This window comes from Homo sapiens, chromosome 1 (genome assembly GCF_000001405.40).
Source record: "Homo sapiens chromosome 1, GRCh38.p14 Primary Assembly".
In the NCBI taxonomy this organism is placed as follows: Eukaryota; Metazoa; Chordata; class Mammalia; order Primates; family Hominidae; genus Homo; species Homo sapiens.
Window position 1 is genome coordinate 90961634 of NC_000001.11, and position 15949 is coordinate 90977582.

The 15949-nt window shown below is 36.0% G+C and overlaps 1 protein-coding gene across 21 annotated transcripts in view, besides 1 other annotated feature; it reads right to left on the minus strand.

Annotated features, from left to right (window-relative positions):
• Nucleotides 1–15949, minus strand: part of ZNF644 (zinc finger protein 644) — a 106732-nt gene that overhangs the window by 46330 nt on the left and 44453 nt on the right. The window lies entirely within an intron of this gene.
• Nucleotides 12041–12934: an enhancer, noted in NCBI's record as "OCT4-NANOG-H3K27ac hESC enhancer chr1:91439231-91440124 (GRCh37/hg19 assembly coordinates)". NCBI's record gives its function as "activates a minimal SCP1, AML or CMV promoter by ChIP-STARR-seq in naive H9 embryonic stem cells {active_cell/tissue: H9 hESC(naive)}" and the evidence as "EXISTENCE:reporter gene assay evidence [ECO:0000049][PMID:30033119]".

Genomic DNA, 15949 nt, shown 5'->3' on the forward strand with positions numbered 1-15949 from the left:
AATGGTACTCTTCTCACTAAATTTTGTTCTGGAATGTATATTTTTCTCAAAATGCTGTTATTTATGTTAACATGTAATGGAATATTATTATATTAAAATAAACTTATAAACATTTAAAATTTGTTTAATTTCAAAAGCAGTAAATATTGTTCTCAACTGGAATCAATACACTTGGAAATGTCTAGAGACATTTTGGCTGTCACACTGGGTAAGTACTACTGGCATCTAGTGAATAGAGGCTAGGTAAAAACTTATGATGCACAGATAGTCTCCATCCAGATAGTCCACTGAACAGAAAATTATCTGGCCCAAAATGTCAATTGTGCCAAGGCTGAGAAACAATCTTGATAAAAGCAACAAATAACCTGACATAATCATATAAATAAAAGTTATTTTAAAAAGTTCAAAGGGATCCTGAGAAGAAAGAATTTCAGTCTGAGTGAGCTAAATAAATGGATAATTTGCCACTCATGAACTATAAGACCTAATATCATAAAGATGTTAACTGTATCTCAATGAATAGATTCAATTTTATATAACTGATATGAATAAAAATTTATGGAAAGCAATGAAACAAGAACAAGGTAGGCCTTAGTGGATATAAAGACATTATTATTATTATTATTATGCCATGTAATTAAAACACCATAGTGTTGGTGCTTTAGATAGACAAAAGTAGACCAATGGGGGAAAAAAACAGAGTCCATAAACAGACCCATATGTATATGGTCACTTTATTTATGCCAAAGCTGATACCACAGAGCAGTAGGGAAGTGATCTTTTTAATAAATGATGTCATATAAAACATACATTCACATGTAAGAAAAGGTGATTCTATGCCTCACACATTATACAAAAATCAGTTCTAGATAGAAGGTAGATCTAAATACATAATAAACAATATACAAAATAATAATAGTAAGTTCTAGGTAGATGGTAGAAAGCAAAATAATAAAGATCCTAGGATAATGTTTCTTAACCTCACCCACTAGTGACACCCTGGCTAGATGTTTGTTTTGTGCATTGTAGGATGCTTAGCATTCTGTACATTGTAGGATATTTAGCAGCACCACTAGCCCAACTCACTAGATGACCAGAGTACTCCACTCACTCAGTTATAAAAACTAAACATGTATTCACACTGCCAAATGTCCCACCCAGATGGTGGGAGATGTGTGGTTAGAGAGGAGGGAACTGCCTCTAGTAGAGAAGCATAGTTTCTGAGCCTAAGAGAATATCTTCATGTCCTTGGAGCAAGGAAAGACTTCTTAAATGGGACACAAGCAGCATTAACAATAAGAGCAAACAATGATAAAATGAACTATACTAAAATTAAGACCTTCCTTTCATTAACAGATAATATTAAGAAGGTGAAAGTCAAGCCAAAGTGGAATGTATATATTTTTTAAATGTAACTAACAAAGAGTCTGTATTTAGAGCATATAAAAACTCCTAAAAACAAAAGGAAAAGTACAGAAACTCCAATAGGAAAAATAGGGCTGTATGTATAAACCATATAGTTCCTATAAACCAGTAAGTTAGAAAGCTCAATAGTAATTTTGTTAAGGTGGTGAGGATAGGAGAAGAGACGTTGCAAAAATGGATACCCAAACAACCAGTACATTTATGAAAGGGTATTCAATTCCATTTGGATCAGGGAAATGCATCTTTCAGAAGACTAAAATTAAAGGGGATATTAATACCGAGTGTTAGTGAGGATACAGAGCAACAGGAATCCTCATATACTTGATGTGATTGATACAACCATTTTGAAAACAATTCATGTGTCATCTTCTAAATTTGAACATACATACACTGGTCAAACCAATGACCCAGATTCTAGTCTTGGTATACACCTAGTATAAATGTTGCACATATGCACCAAGAAACATGTACAAGAATGTTCACAGCAGCATTATTCAGCCCAAACCTCCTACAGTAACATGACAAATTGTGATAAAATTATACAAGTGAACCATAGCGACATCTGACAAAATTTCTAACTCTCAAACATAATGTTGAACAAAATAAGCTAGACAAAATAATACTTCTGTATATTTCTGAAAAATTTCAGAAACAAGTAAAAAAAAGTTATTTTCTTTTAAGTCAGGCAAGTGGTTAACCTGGGAAAGAAAAAACAGGGATAGTGACTGAGAAAAGAGACATAGGGGGTTTCTGGGTTGCTGGCAGTATTCTATTTCTCGATCTGTGGTGGTCATGGAGTGTTTACTTTGTGGTGATTCACTGAGCTGTACCCTACACTTCATGCATTTTCCTGTAAGTATTGTATTTAAATTTTTAAAAAGACACAGAGCACCATCTTTTATAGCTATATATGTGACCCTAGAAAACAATACATTACACAAATACCTTAACAATTATGGTATTAGATGTCAAGTGCTAGGCAGCAAAAATTATGTCTGGAACAAAATAACTTTCTTGTTATACTTCAAGATCCTTTATCTAATTAAATGAAACAAATACAGTATCTTTAAAAGGGCTGCTTGATTTTTCAATATGCTGCAGGAAGACATCATTCAATATATTTAATTTTTCTGTTTTCCTTTAAGTTTTACATATTTTAATCATTTGAAAAAATTTCAATTTCTTAAGTTTATATAAGAGAAAATAAAATACATATCTTGGAAAACATTAATTACTATTAAAGTTGAAGATGTTTGTTTCTAATATTAAAAATCTATTTTCTCACATTTAGACAAAGAAGGGGATTAAGACAGAATGATAAATGACACCTGACCTAAAGGAGGTTTCTATCAAAAATGTATATACTTCCCTACCCAACAAACTAAGCCTTGGTTTATATTTTTATATTCCATGACATTTTAATAAAACTCTACAATACCAATTAATATTTTATTTACAGAAGAATCAAACATTTACTATATTAAGTTGCTCAGTATCAGTTTCCCTCTGAATTTAATCATTTACCTAGAACAGTATAGTTAATTGCATACAATGTGATTCATTTTTAAGCCACATAGTGCCACCAAGTGGTAACAAATTCTTTTTCCAAAATACCACACTGAAGCAACAGAAAAAGCTATACTGGAATATTATACTGGAATGGAAAAATCAATCTTTTGACAAATTTAAATAAGACTGTGAAGTATATTAGTATGAAACTTTAAAAATAGAAGAGGTCTTTTTTTTTGGAAAAGAGTTGTGCATATTATCTTGTGATAGTATTTAGTTTTAGAGTTAAAAATTTTCTTGGAAGGCAAGGAACTATTATATAATGCTGTAGCATTTACTTTTTGTTGCTTGTTGTTTTTAAATTCCCCACATTTCCTTAGAAGACATAAGTTGCTTTACAAATTAATGAAACACACACACATACACACAAACACAATAAAAGACCTGGAACGTTTCATAACAATCTGTTACCCTTGTTAAGTATGGGGAAGGAGTGAGGAGAGTAAGTTTTACTTTTTAGTTAATAACTGTATTAATTTGCTAGGATAACAGAAAAAGCTATACTGGATCTGTATAGCTAGAACTGCCTTTTAACAAAGTCCTGCAAGTGGTGGCTTAAATAACAAAAATTTATTGGCTGAAATATCTGGGAACTGGAAGTCCAAGACAAAAGTACAGTAGGGCTGCTTCCTTCTGACTGCTGTGAGGAAAGATCTGTTTCAGATTTCTTCTTGGCCTGTAGAGAGCCATCTTTTTCCTAGGTCTCTTCACATCGTCTTCCTTCTATTAGTGTCTCGGTATCCAAATTTCTCCTTTTTATAAGCACATCAGTGATAACTGGACAAGCCCACCCTAATGACCTCATTCAACTTGATTACCTCTATAAAGACCCTATATTTCCAAGTGAGGTTATAGTCTGAAGTAGAGGCGGACAGGATTTCAACATAAGAATTTGGAGGAGGATATAATTCAACCCTTAACACTACTCTTCTTTTCTGAAATTTTTGTATATTTTTCTTATTTAAAAGGAGGACAAAAAATAGTTCCTAAAAGTTGTAAAATAACAGAATACTATTTTAATTACATAAAATGTTATCAGCAAAAAAGGACTGAATTTTGATATAAGTAATGAGTCATATAGTTCATATCCAATGCACTTTGTCCTAGACCCCATCTCCCACTAACTCTCTCTTTTTTTTGAGATGGAGTTTCGCTCTTGTTGCCCAGGCTGGAACGCAGTGGCATGATCTCGGCTCACTGATACCTTCACCTCCTGGGTTCAAGCGATTCTCCTGCTTCAACCTCCCAAGTATCTGGGATTACAGGCGCCAGCCACCACACCCAGCTAATTTTTTGTATTTTTAGTAGAGACGGGGTTTCATCATGTTGGCCAGGCTGGTCTCTAACTCCTGACCTCAGGTGATCCACCCACCTCGGCCTCCCAAAGTGCCTGGCTTATAGGCATGAGCCACCGCGCCTGGCCCCAACTCTCTTTCTCAATGTACTCATATTGGCCTTACTATTTCTCGACTATGCTCTGGTTATTTTGCACTTAATATTCTCTGCCTGAAGCTCTTCCTCCAAATATACTTACGGATCATTTCTTTCACATTTGTGTCCATCTCCTTCTTAGTTCTTCGTAGACCATCCAAAATAAAGTTACTAGAAGAGCACTCTTAGTAACTCTCTATGCCCCTCTCTGCTGATATTTTTCTTTATAGTACTAACACCTGATACATTATTATTTGATCATTTGTTTTTTTCTCCCCACTACAAAGTAAGCTTCTTGAGAAAAGAGACACATTTTGCTCACTGATGTACCCTTGACATCCAAAATAGTGCCTAGAGTGTTCCATTTTGAGCCATAGGTTAAGGTCTAAATTAAATCTGGGGAACAGGGGCCAGGTGCGGGTGGCTCATGCCTGTAATCCCAGCACTTTGGGAGGCTAAGGCAGGCAGATCACCTGATGTCAGGAGTTCGAGACCAGCCTGGGCAACATAGTGAAACCCTGTCTCTATTAAAAATATAAAAATTAGCCAGGTGTGGTGGCGTACACCTGTAGTTCCAGCTACTTGGGAGGCTGAGGCAGGAGAATCGCTTGAACCCAGGAGGTGGAGGTTGTGGTGAACCAAGATTGTACCACTGCACTCCAGTATGGGTGACAGTGAGACTCAGTCTCAAAAAAAAAAAAAAAAAAAAAAATCTGGGTAACGGGCCAACTTCATGGACTAGTAGGCATTTTGGGAGATGGTCTTAAGGTAGCAGTAAGTAAGAGCTGAGCAGCTCACGTGATAGGAGCACTTTGGGAGGCTGAGGTGGGGAATTTGTGACTACTTTTTTGTTCATTATCATAAGCAGAAAGAGTTTCTTAAAGTTAATGCATGTCTGACTTCTAAGTAGAATCTACTGTTCCCCTTTCTAATCATTTTCTGCACCACAGGCAGAGTCATCTTTCCACTTCTCTGTAAAACACATTTTCCCTTCTCTCAGGATATAATCCCAAATCTTTTATACAGTTGAAATGGCTTTGCTGGGCCCTGCCTATCTCTCCACTGTAGTCTCAGATTCTACTCCCATCAGTTCTCAGTGATCCAAAGTACTGTCCTCCTCTCAAATTCCCCAACATGTTCCTCTTCACCATAGGGCCTCTGTACATGTAGTTCCCTTGGTCTGGAATCCTCAGCCCTCCATCGCACAAATCTAGTTAACCTTAACTCATAATCTCATCAGATCACAGCTCTTAAAGTCACTTACTCTGTGAAGCTCTCCTCAACCCACTCTGTGTCAAGTTCCTTTGACAAATGCTCTTACAGAACGGTTCCTTTCAGAACTCTTTCAAATATTTAGCTGATGATTATTGATTTCTCTCTCCTAATGGTCCTAAGTTCCAAAACATAAAACATAAAAACCTTCCCTGTGATTCCAAGAGAATGGGAACCATGTCTTCTATTGCATATGCTGTGTTGAACAACTAATGCTGTTTTGAACAACTAAAAGGTAGTAGTCAACCTAATGAAGGAACACAGACAACACAGGCTGACTATAAATGAATAAAGCCCTGATATCAGTCAATTATAGGAATTAAACACAACAAATTTTCCTTTTATTAACTTCAACTGGTTTCATCAGACACATTGCATATTTCTGGGTAGCCTGCCCCTAGCCACCAGTGAGTGCACAAAAAGATCCAAGCTTATGGCCAGGCACGGTGGCTCACGCCTGTAATCCCAGCACTTTGGGAGGTAGAGGTGGGTGGATCACAAGGTCAGGAGTTCGAGACCAGCCTCACCAATATGGTGAAACCCCGTCTCTACTAAAAAAAATACAAAAAAAAAAAAAAAAATTAGCCAGGAGTGGTGGCAGGCACCTGTAATCCCTGCTACTCGGGAGGCTGAGGCAGGAGAATTGCTTGAATCTGGGAGGCGGAGGTTGCAGTGTGCCAAGATTGCACCACTGCATTCCAGCCTGGGTGACAGAGTGAGACTCCGTCTCAAAAAAAAAAAAAAAAAAAAAAATCCAAGCTTATTTTAATATTCAATCATGCAATCAATTTAAAAGTGCATGAAAGGTAATAGAAATTGTCATTATACACCTTATCTCAATTAGTGATATACCTAATTCACATGCCTCATGATCAGTTATTTTGTAGGAATTTGCAGGAAAATTTTTAAAATTTCCTAGGTATGTAAATGTACTGATATGCACTGAAAACTTAAAAGGCTGCCTATGAGATATAATTTACAATAGGGTAATGTCAAAATATAGTATTGCATAGGCAACTTTTTGCCCCCAAATTAAAAATTTGTCAACTAGCTAATTTGCTTTTAAACTGTATATAAGCATTCTAATATATTTCGGTTTTGGGGGGGGAGCCTCTCATTTTAATGTGATGTGTGATAAACAGACTTTTTACAATGGTTCTAATATCACTACTATTTCTCTGAATTGAGAAAATAAGGAAAATTTAAATCTCTGTCACATTTATTGTTGTATCATTAGCCTTCTGGTACCTAAACAATGACTATCTCCAGATTAAACTGTGTAATTTTAACAGACAGTACAAATTTTTACTGTTTCCTTAAATATCACAGTAATATTTAAAGTGGGTTGAATAAATTTTTTAAATAACTTTGTATAATAGATGACATGAAGGTATACTGTAACTCCCTTTCAGATTTATGATTCTTTTCCTGAATACTTTAAGGATACCTTTCAATATATACAGATAAATAGATATATTGATAAATAGATACATTTATCAGTATACCTTGAATGCATATATGCACATCTAGATGCATTTATCCTATTTACTTGCCACAGCAAACCAAAAGTCACACATCTGACTCAATGCACCACATCTTGTTATTACATTCTAAAAGTATGGTTAAATATTCATTACAAAAATCAAAGTCATCATTTTTGGCAAATTTTCTTCAGTAAGCAGCATCTGATAATTCCAAATAATTTAACTCCACTCATTAATTCATTCACTATAAAGAACAACACTTTAAATGCAATGTTACAGATTGAATTGTGTTCCCCCCAAAATTCATATGTTGAAGCCCTAGTACAAAGTTAAAATGAAGCCATTAGGGTAGGCCCTAATCCAGTCTAACTGGTGTCCTTATAAGAAGATTAGGACATACAGAGAGACACCAAGGATGGGCATGCACTGAGAAAGGGCCATGTAAGGACACACGGAGAAGACAGCCATCTGCAAGCCAAGGAGAGAGGCCTCAGGAGAAGCCAAGCCTGCAAACATCTTGATCCTGGACTTCTAGCCTCCAGAAATGTGAGAAAATAAATTTCTATTGTTTAGGCTACCCAGTCTGTGGTACAATAGTCACCCCTCATCTGCAGTTTCGCTTTCTGAGGTTTCAATTACCTAGTCAACTATGGTCTGAAAATATTAAATCGAAAATTCCAAAAATAAACAATTCAAACCTTTTAAATTGCACACAGTTCTGTGTAGTGTGATGTAATCTCACACTGTCCTGCTCCATCCTACCCAGGTTATGTATAAACCATCCCTTTGTCCTGTGTATCCATGCTGTAAATGCTCCCTATCTATTAGCCATCTTAGTTATCAAATCAACTGTCTAGGTATCGTAGTGCTTGTGCTAAGTAAACCTTACTTTACTTAATTGTTCTATTATTATTGTTTTAAATCTCTCATTGTGTCTAATTTATAAATTAAACTTTATCACAGATATGTGTATGTAGGAAAAAAACAGCCCATATAGGTTCTGTACTGAGGTTTTCGCATCCACTGGAGGTACTGGAATGTATCCCCCACGGATTAGGTAGGTCTACTGTAGATTCTTATGGCAGCCCTAGCAGACTAATATGCTCAACTTGGCAGAACAAATGAGATGTTTTAAATCACACTGCATTTAAGTTCTACTGTGATATACATGAATATTTCTATCTTCTGAAAACACAAAACTAAGGTCATCTCCAACATGCTTTATGCTAAATGCTGAGATGTGAGCAGAATACCAGTTTAGACATAAGAACAAGTTTGCCTAAGAAAATATTTGGTGGTCCTGCCTATTCATATTATTGCAACCCTATACAGCAATTAGATTAATATCTGGATAAGCACCTATGTCAATTTCCTTAAGTAAACAACTTAGCTCCTGTATAATTGACATTTAAAACATATGGATCTCCTTTCAGCCCATACAATAGAAAACCTGTATTCAGGGCCCTTGCAAATGATCTTAATCAAAATAAATTGCTAACTATCCTTTCTTGTCGCTGAGAAAATTCTAGACCAGTACTAAGAACCTAGCTGTGCTTCAGATAAACTTGGGAAACTTTTAAAAATGACAGATTGTGCAACTCCTCCCCTGGAATTTGATTCCACTTTACCAAGGCCTATAGACTTTTTAAAGCACCCCATACAACTTGTATTTGTAGCCAAAACAATCTAGAGAATTTTTAAATATTGCTGTACTTGAAGACTTTTTTAAAACTACTAATGTTCAGTCCCCTTCTGAAAAATTCCAATCTAAATGACTCTGGCAATGGTGTGTGTGCGAATATCTCCTTTGACATTGTAAAGTGCAGCCATAATTGAAAACAATGGTCTAGAGTTCAGATATCATATGATTATCAAGTGTTGTAATTAGTGTGAAGCATATACAACCAAATACCAGGGTATATAAGTGATTATCTATTAAAAAAATATATGGCTGAGGAGGGCAGATCACAAGGTCAAGAGATAGAGACCATCCTGGCCAACATGGTGAAACCCTGTCTCTACTAAAAATACAAAAATTAGCTGGGCGTGGTGGCACATGCCTGTAGTTCCAGCTACTCAGAAGGCTGAGGCAGGAGAATCACTTGAACCCGGGAGGCGGAGATTACAGTGAGCCGAGATCACACCACTGCACTCCAGCCTAGCAATGGAGCGAGACTCCATTTCAAAAAAAAAAAAAAAAAAAACACTATCACTTACATTCCACTGAACTATAAATATACACTGTAGTATGGCTTTATTATGAAAATTATCTGTATGCCTTCATTTATCCAGGTAGAAAAGAGATTGAGAACCTCAAACAAAATACTAGCAAACAAAATTAAACAGCACATTAAAAGTATTATACACCGTAAGCAAATGAGATTTATTTCTGGAATCCAAGGATAGTTCATCAACATAAAAAAAAAAATCAATGTAACACAGCACATTAACAAAAGAATGGACAAAAACCCATGACCATCACAATTGATGCAAAAAAAAAAAAAGACAAAATTCAATATCCTTTTGTTAATAAACAGATCCAACAAACTAGGAATAGAAGGAAACTACTTCAATGTAATAAAAGCAATATTCAAACATTTCTTTCTTTCTTTTTTTTTGGTGGGGGGACAGAGTCTCACTATGTCACCCAGGCTGAAGTGCAATGGCGTGATCTCGGCTCACTGCAACCTCCACCACAGGGTTCAAGCGATTCTCCTGCCTCAGCCTCCTGAGTAGCTGGGATTACAGGTGCATGTTACCACATCCAGCTAATTTTTGTATTTTTGGTAGAGATGGGATTTCACCATATTGACTAGGCTGGTCTCAAACTCCTGATCTCATGATCCATACACCTCGGATCCCAAAGTGCTGGGATTACAGGTGTGAGCCACCACGCCAGGGCAAGAAAAGCCCACTTCTACGTAACATTGTACTAGAATTCCTAGCCAGAGCACTTAGGGGAGGGGATGAGGAGAAGAGGTGAGAAGGAGAGAGGGAGTCTGACTGCTCTCCCAAGTCTCACCTCCTTTCAATCAGATAGAAACCAGGCCCTTTTTTCATCATTTCTCAGAACACTTCCAAGTATTACTTCTCATTATTCTTATATTCTTATATTATTCCGTTTGCATTTTAAGCATACAGTGTAAAGGCTGGAAAACAATGAAACATGCAAGTAAGCAGCTGTAGTCCCAGCTACTCAGGAGGCTGAGGCATGACAATCACTTGAATCCAGAGGCAGAGGTTGCAGTGAACCAAGTCATTACACCACTGCACTCCAGTGTGGGCGACACAATGAGACTCTGTCTAAACAAACAAACAAACAAAGACTAATTGAACTTTGTGAAAATGTAAAAATTTTTGTGCAACAAAAGATACAGAGTAAAGAAAACCAATGGAATGGGAGAAAATATCTCTGCAAATCATGTTATCTAACAAGGGATTAATATCTAGAACATATACAGAACTACAACTCAACAGAAAAACAACATGATTAAAAAATGGGCAAAAGACTTGAATAGACATTTCTCCAAGGACATTCATATGGCCAATAAGCATATGAAAAGATGCTCAACATCACTAATTATTAGACAAATACAAATCAAAACCATAATGACACATCATAGCCACTATCAAAAAACAAAAAACAAAATGTCAAGTGTTGGCAAGGATGGAGAGAAACAGGAACATTTGTGCACTGTTGGTGGGAATGTCAAATGGTGCAGCCACTACAGAAAACTATGGTGGCTCCTCAAAAAACTAAAAATAGAATTACCATATGATCCAGCAATTCCACTTCTAGGTATATATCCTTGAAAATTGAAAGCAAGGTCTTGAAGAGATATTTGTACACCCATGTTCACTGCAGCATTGTTCACAATAGCTAAATGGTGGAAGCAACACAGGTGTCCACCAATGGACAAATAAACAACATGTGTTACATACATACAATACAGTATTATGCAGACTTAAAATGGGAGGAAATTCTGCAAAATGCTGTAACATGAATGAACCGTGAAAACATCACACTTGTGAAATAAGCCAGTCACAAAAAGACAAACACTATATGATTCTGCTTATGAGACACTTAGTCAAATTCAAAGAGAGAAAAATGGTGATTTCCAGGACCTCAGGAGCAGGAGAAACGGAGGAATTGTTGTTTAATGGGTACAGAGTTTCAGTTTCGCAAGACAAAAAGTTATGAAGATGGATGGTGGTGATGAGTGCACATTATAAATGTATATAGGAACACTCAACTGTACACTTAAAAATGGTTAAAATGGCAAATTTCATGTTACATATAGTTTACCATAATAAAAAAAAAAACTAGAAAAAAATTACCAATGGGGATGAGGTGGAGATCAATAAATAACAAATATGTCTGGGTTTGCTCCAGAATAACCTGAGAGGGAGGAAAAAATGGGTGAGAGTATAATACATAAATGGGTGAGAGTATAATAAAGTAAGAGTATACATGTAATTATGTATTTTCCTGTGTAGTATTTCTTATGTTATTTCACTGAATTATTTTAATATTTACTAAATTATTTTACCACTCTGTTGAGAGCAGTATAACATAAGCCTTTAATAGCAGACTCTCAAGTTAAACTACCCCGTTCAAATCCTAGGTCTTCCATTGTTAAACTCGTATTTTAGTTTTGTTATCTGTAAAATGAGGATTGAGTTAATATTGAAAAAGTACTTATAACAGTGCCTGGCAGATAGTAAGCACTATATAAATGTTAAATAAGTCTGCATTTATCATGGTTTTTATTTTTAATCCATCAGACAAAAAATATCTGTGTTAAGTGTAGAAAGAGTAAACATCATATAAACTTTTGTTTAAGAAAACATATATATATATAAGGTAACCACGATTTTTGTTTTTACCAGTTTAAAAAATAGAAGAGCCCGTCATCTATAGAGGGCACTGCAGGAGACGTCAATATTTAGCACTTCATTATCTTGTGATACTTTTAAGTCATTCAATTTATAGGTGGCTCAGTTTGCAATCATAAATATCAAGAGAAAGTGACTTCCTAGTAATGAGATGTAGGAAATGCTGCCCCCAAAATATGGCACCTTGGCATTTGAGAAAACAGCAGAAGCAGGAAGGTCTCTCTTCTGACTTTCTCATTTTTTTCTCCCCTGAAGTAAGCCATAAAATCTAGGAAAGTCATTCTCTGACTTTCTCTCCCTTCTCTCCTAAAACTTTTATGGGATAGGTGTCCGTATAGATGTGTCACACAGAGATGCCAAGAAGAATCTGAACAAACAGGCTCTGCTAAGTCCACCCCAGTTTATCACCATTAGATCATACCCTTTTGTCCTCTAATCATACTCCTGCATGACTGTCCATCTCTACTAAAAATACAAAAATTAGCTGGGCAAGGTGGTGGGCGCCAGTAATCCCAGGCTGAGGCATGAGAATCATTTGAACTTGGGAGGCAGAGATTGCAGTGGGCCAAGATTGCGCCACTGCACTCCAGCCTGAGGGATACAGCAAGACTCTTGTCTCAAAAAAAAAAGAATTTGAGGGACATTAAGATTTCACGCTGATGATTCTCACATCTCGAGTTATAGATAGGTCTCATATCTAACTGCCACCTGACATTTCTACTCAGAAGTCCTGAGCTACTTAAAGCTTAATACATCTAAAATGTAGCTCTTGTTCTCTCCAAATGTTCTTCTTCACAGTTCCTATCTGTGAATAATACAGCACTACTGCCCAGCTAGAAACATGAGTCATACTTAACTCCTTTCTTATTCTCCTACTCCCACCTCCATTACAATTAACCACCAAAGCTGGTCTCTTTTGCTGTGTAAATCTCTCTCAAATCCAACCACATCTTTCTATCCCCACTTCTACCACTCTCAAGTCAGGCCAGCATGCTCCCCATACTAACTAGTCATCCTGAATCCAATCCAGCTTTCCCTGTGATCTGTTCTCCCCATTTTAATTAGGTTCATTTGCTAAAACAGATAGAATAAAGTCATTTCCTCACATTTAAACTCCTTCAATGGTTTATAAAAACCTCAATAAAATAGCCCAGCCTTACTCTCTCGTCTAATCTCTTGAGACTAGCCACTCCCCACATCCACACCCCACGGTGAGCTCTACATTCAAAACTTACATTTATTTCAGTTCCAGCAATCTTCCCTTTCTGTTACCTCTCATCCTTTGAACATGCTATTTCTTCTGCTAACAGTCCTTCCCCACATTTTTTATCCACATTAATCACCAACAGTTCCTCCAAGTTTCAGTTTAAGTGTCACTTCTGGGAGGCCTTGCCATATTTCCATCCAGTCATTAAATAGACATTTATTAAATGTCTATGAGTAAAGTATTAGCTATATTAAAGTACTGAATATATCTTAAGAAATAAAACAGACATGGCCCTTGCCTTCCAGGAACAGAGACTATCACAGTACTAATGATACTTGATTATAATTACATATTTAGTTATCTTTTCTCCTCAGACTAGTAAAGTGTGATCTAAAACCAACTTAATTACAATCACCAATTCATAAAACATCAGATGAATCAATAAAATATTAAACAAAAATTTACTGAGCCCACGGGCTTCAGCCTAGTTAGAAGACCCTAAAAGTTTCAAATATCTACTTTTTTTTTTTTTTTTTTTGAGACAGAGTCTCGCTCTGTCTCCCAGGCTGGAGCGCAATGGCGCGATCTCGGCTCACTGCAACCTCTGCCTCCTGGGTTCAAGTGATTCTCCTGCCTCAGCCTCCCAAGCAGCTGGGATTACAGGTGCCTGCCACCACACCCAAATAATGCTAATTTTTGCATTTTTAGTAGAGACAGAGTTTCACCACGTTGGCCAGGCTGGTCTTGAACTCCTGACCTCAGGCAATTCACCTGCCTCAGCCTCCCAAAGTGCTGGGATTACAGGTGTGAGCCACCACGCCTGGCCTCAAATATCTACTTTAATGGTCATCTCAAAAGAATAGTAAATCAGAGGTCAGAAGACTTAGGTTCCAATTCTGTTTCTGCAATTATCTACCTGACCTCAAGCCAGTCATTCATTATTTCTGAATCTCTTACCCTTAAGTGTAACATTAGAATAATCAAAATAATGATGAGTATGAAGGCTTTCACAGTATCATTTATTTCTTGGTGTATTCAAAAAAATTAAACTTGTTTAAACAGTTTGAAAAAATAGCACAAGGAAACAGTTCAAATAATAAATTCCTAAGCTGTGGTAAAATGTGAACTTCAGTACATTTAAGAAACTGCCAGTAACTCTGGCAATATGGACATCCAGTTAAATGAAACTGTTTTTACGAAATAATGTCTAGCAACTAAAATAAGAGCTTTAGTTCATGCCCCCTCTGCCCATATTTTCCCAAGGTCAAAATTCTATTCTTTTTTTCAACTCTAAATGATATCTTGCTCTATGAAGCCTTTCCTGACTTCTTCCTTAAAAACGTCCTCCTCAGGCCTACTACTACACTATACTACTCAGACTTGGCAGTATTGTGTTCATCACTTGTACTATAACTAGTTGCATGGTACTGGGAATTCTAATGACTAATGCATCCCTAACATATAGCACAGTGCCTAGAATATTAGATTTCAATAAAGGCTTACTGAATGCCTTGTTTTATTTAGCACTTTTATTTACAGTTTAGACCAATCATAGAAGGCTAAAGTATAGCCATGGCAAAATTCTTTGGTCTGAAGGAGCAGTTTTATGGTTTCCTGTTCACATATTGGAATGATATTTGCCGCTTAGCCTTTGTTAGGTTTAAAAACATTTCAGATTTGGATAGAAACTTTTATACTAAAGACAAGCATGGCTGAAACTTTCTTTGGAAAAACTACTGACAGCTCAACTTCAAAAGAGAACAATGTAGCCTCCCTTTAAACAAATTTAACAGCACAGTGAAACCAAGGGTGAGTTTTAAGAGATGTAGATCAAGACAGACAGATATACAGTTGACCCTTCATATCTGAAGGGGATTGGTTCCAGGACAACCCCCTAGATACCAAAATCCACAGATGCTCAAATCCCTTATATAATATGGCATAGTACTTTAAACATATCTAGGAATAAAGGCATCACACTAGAAAATACTATTAAAAAATACCAAAATATGCCAATTTGTAAAAATAACTCAGAGAAATCCATCACAGAAACATTAAGGATTTTCTCAGCTCTTTTTTTCTGGTTGTAAATTTAAGTATTTAAGTTTTCTAGAATTAAATACTTAAAAAAAAAAAGGAGTTCACTCACATTAAAGCTGGAATTAAGACTAACAACTGTAGCTTATCATACATAATAAGGATAGTAAAAAATAACCACAAAGAAGCAAAGTATTCTAATGATTGCGTTGTAAAAGACATCAGATTTTAAGCAGTCTGCTATCAATCTAGACTTAATGAACCTAATATTTAGTAATGGCTTTTATTTTCTTTTTATTTACAGGCTATGCTGATGTTAGTTTGTAGCAAACTATAAAGAAATTTACCATAAGGAAATATTTATCCTAAAAAAATAGTATGAAGGGAAAAAAAGGCAAATAATCTGATTATTCAATATTAAATAACTTTGACTGTAATACCTAAAACACAAAGGTATGTTAATTGATGGAACTGATGGACTTAACAGTAAAAAATAAAAATCTTCACATATATTCTCCAACAGAACTTAAGTTGTAATGAAGGTGATATTTCAAACCTTTGAGCACTCTCACAATTTAAAAAATGCCCAGTAAAATAAATACCACTTTCCACCAATTAGACTAGCAAG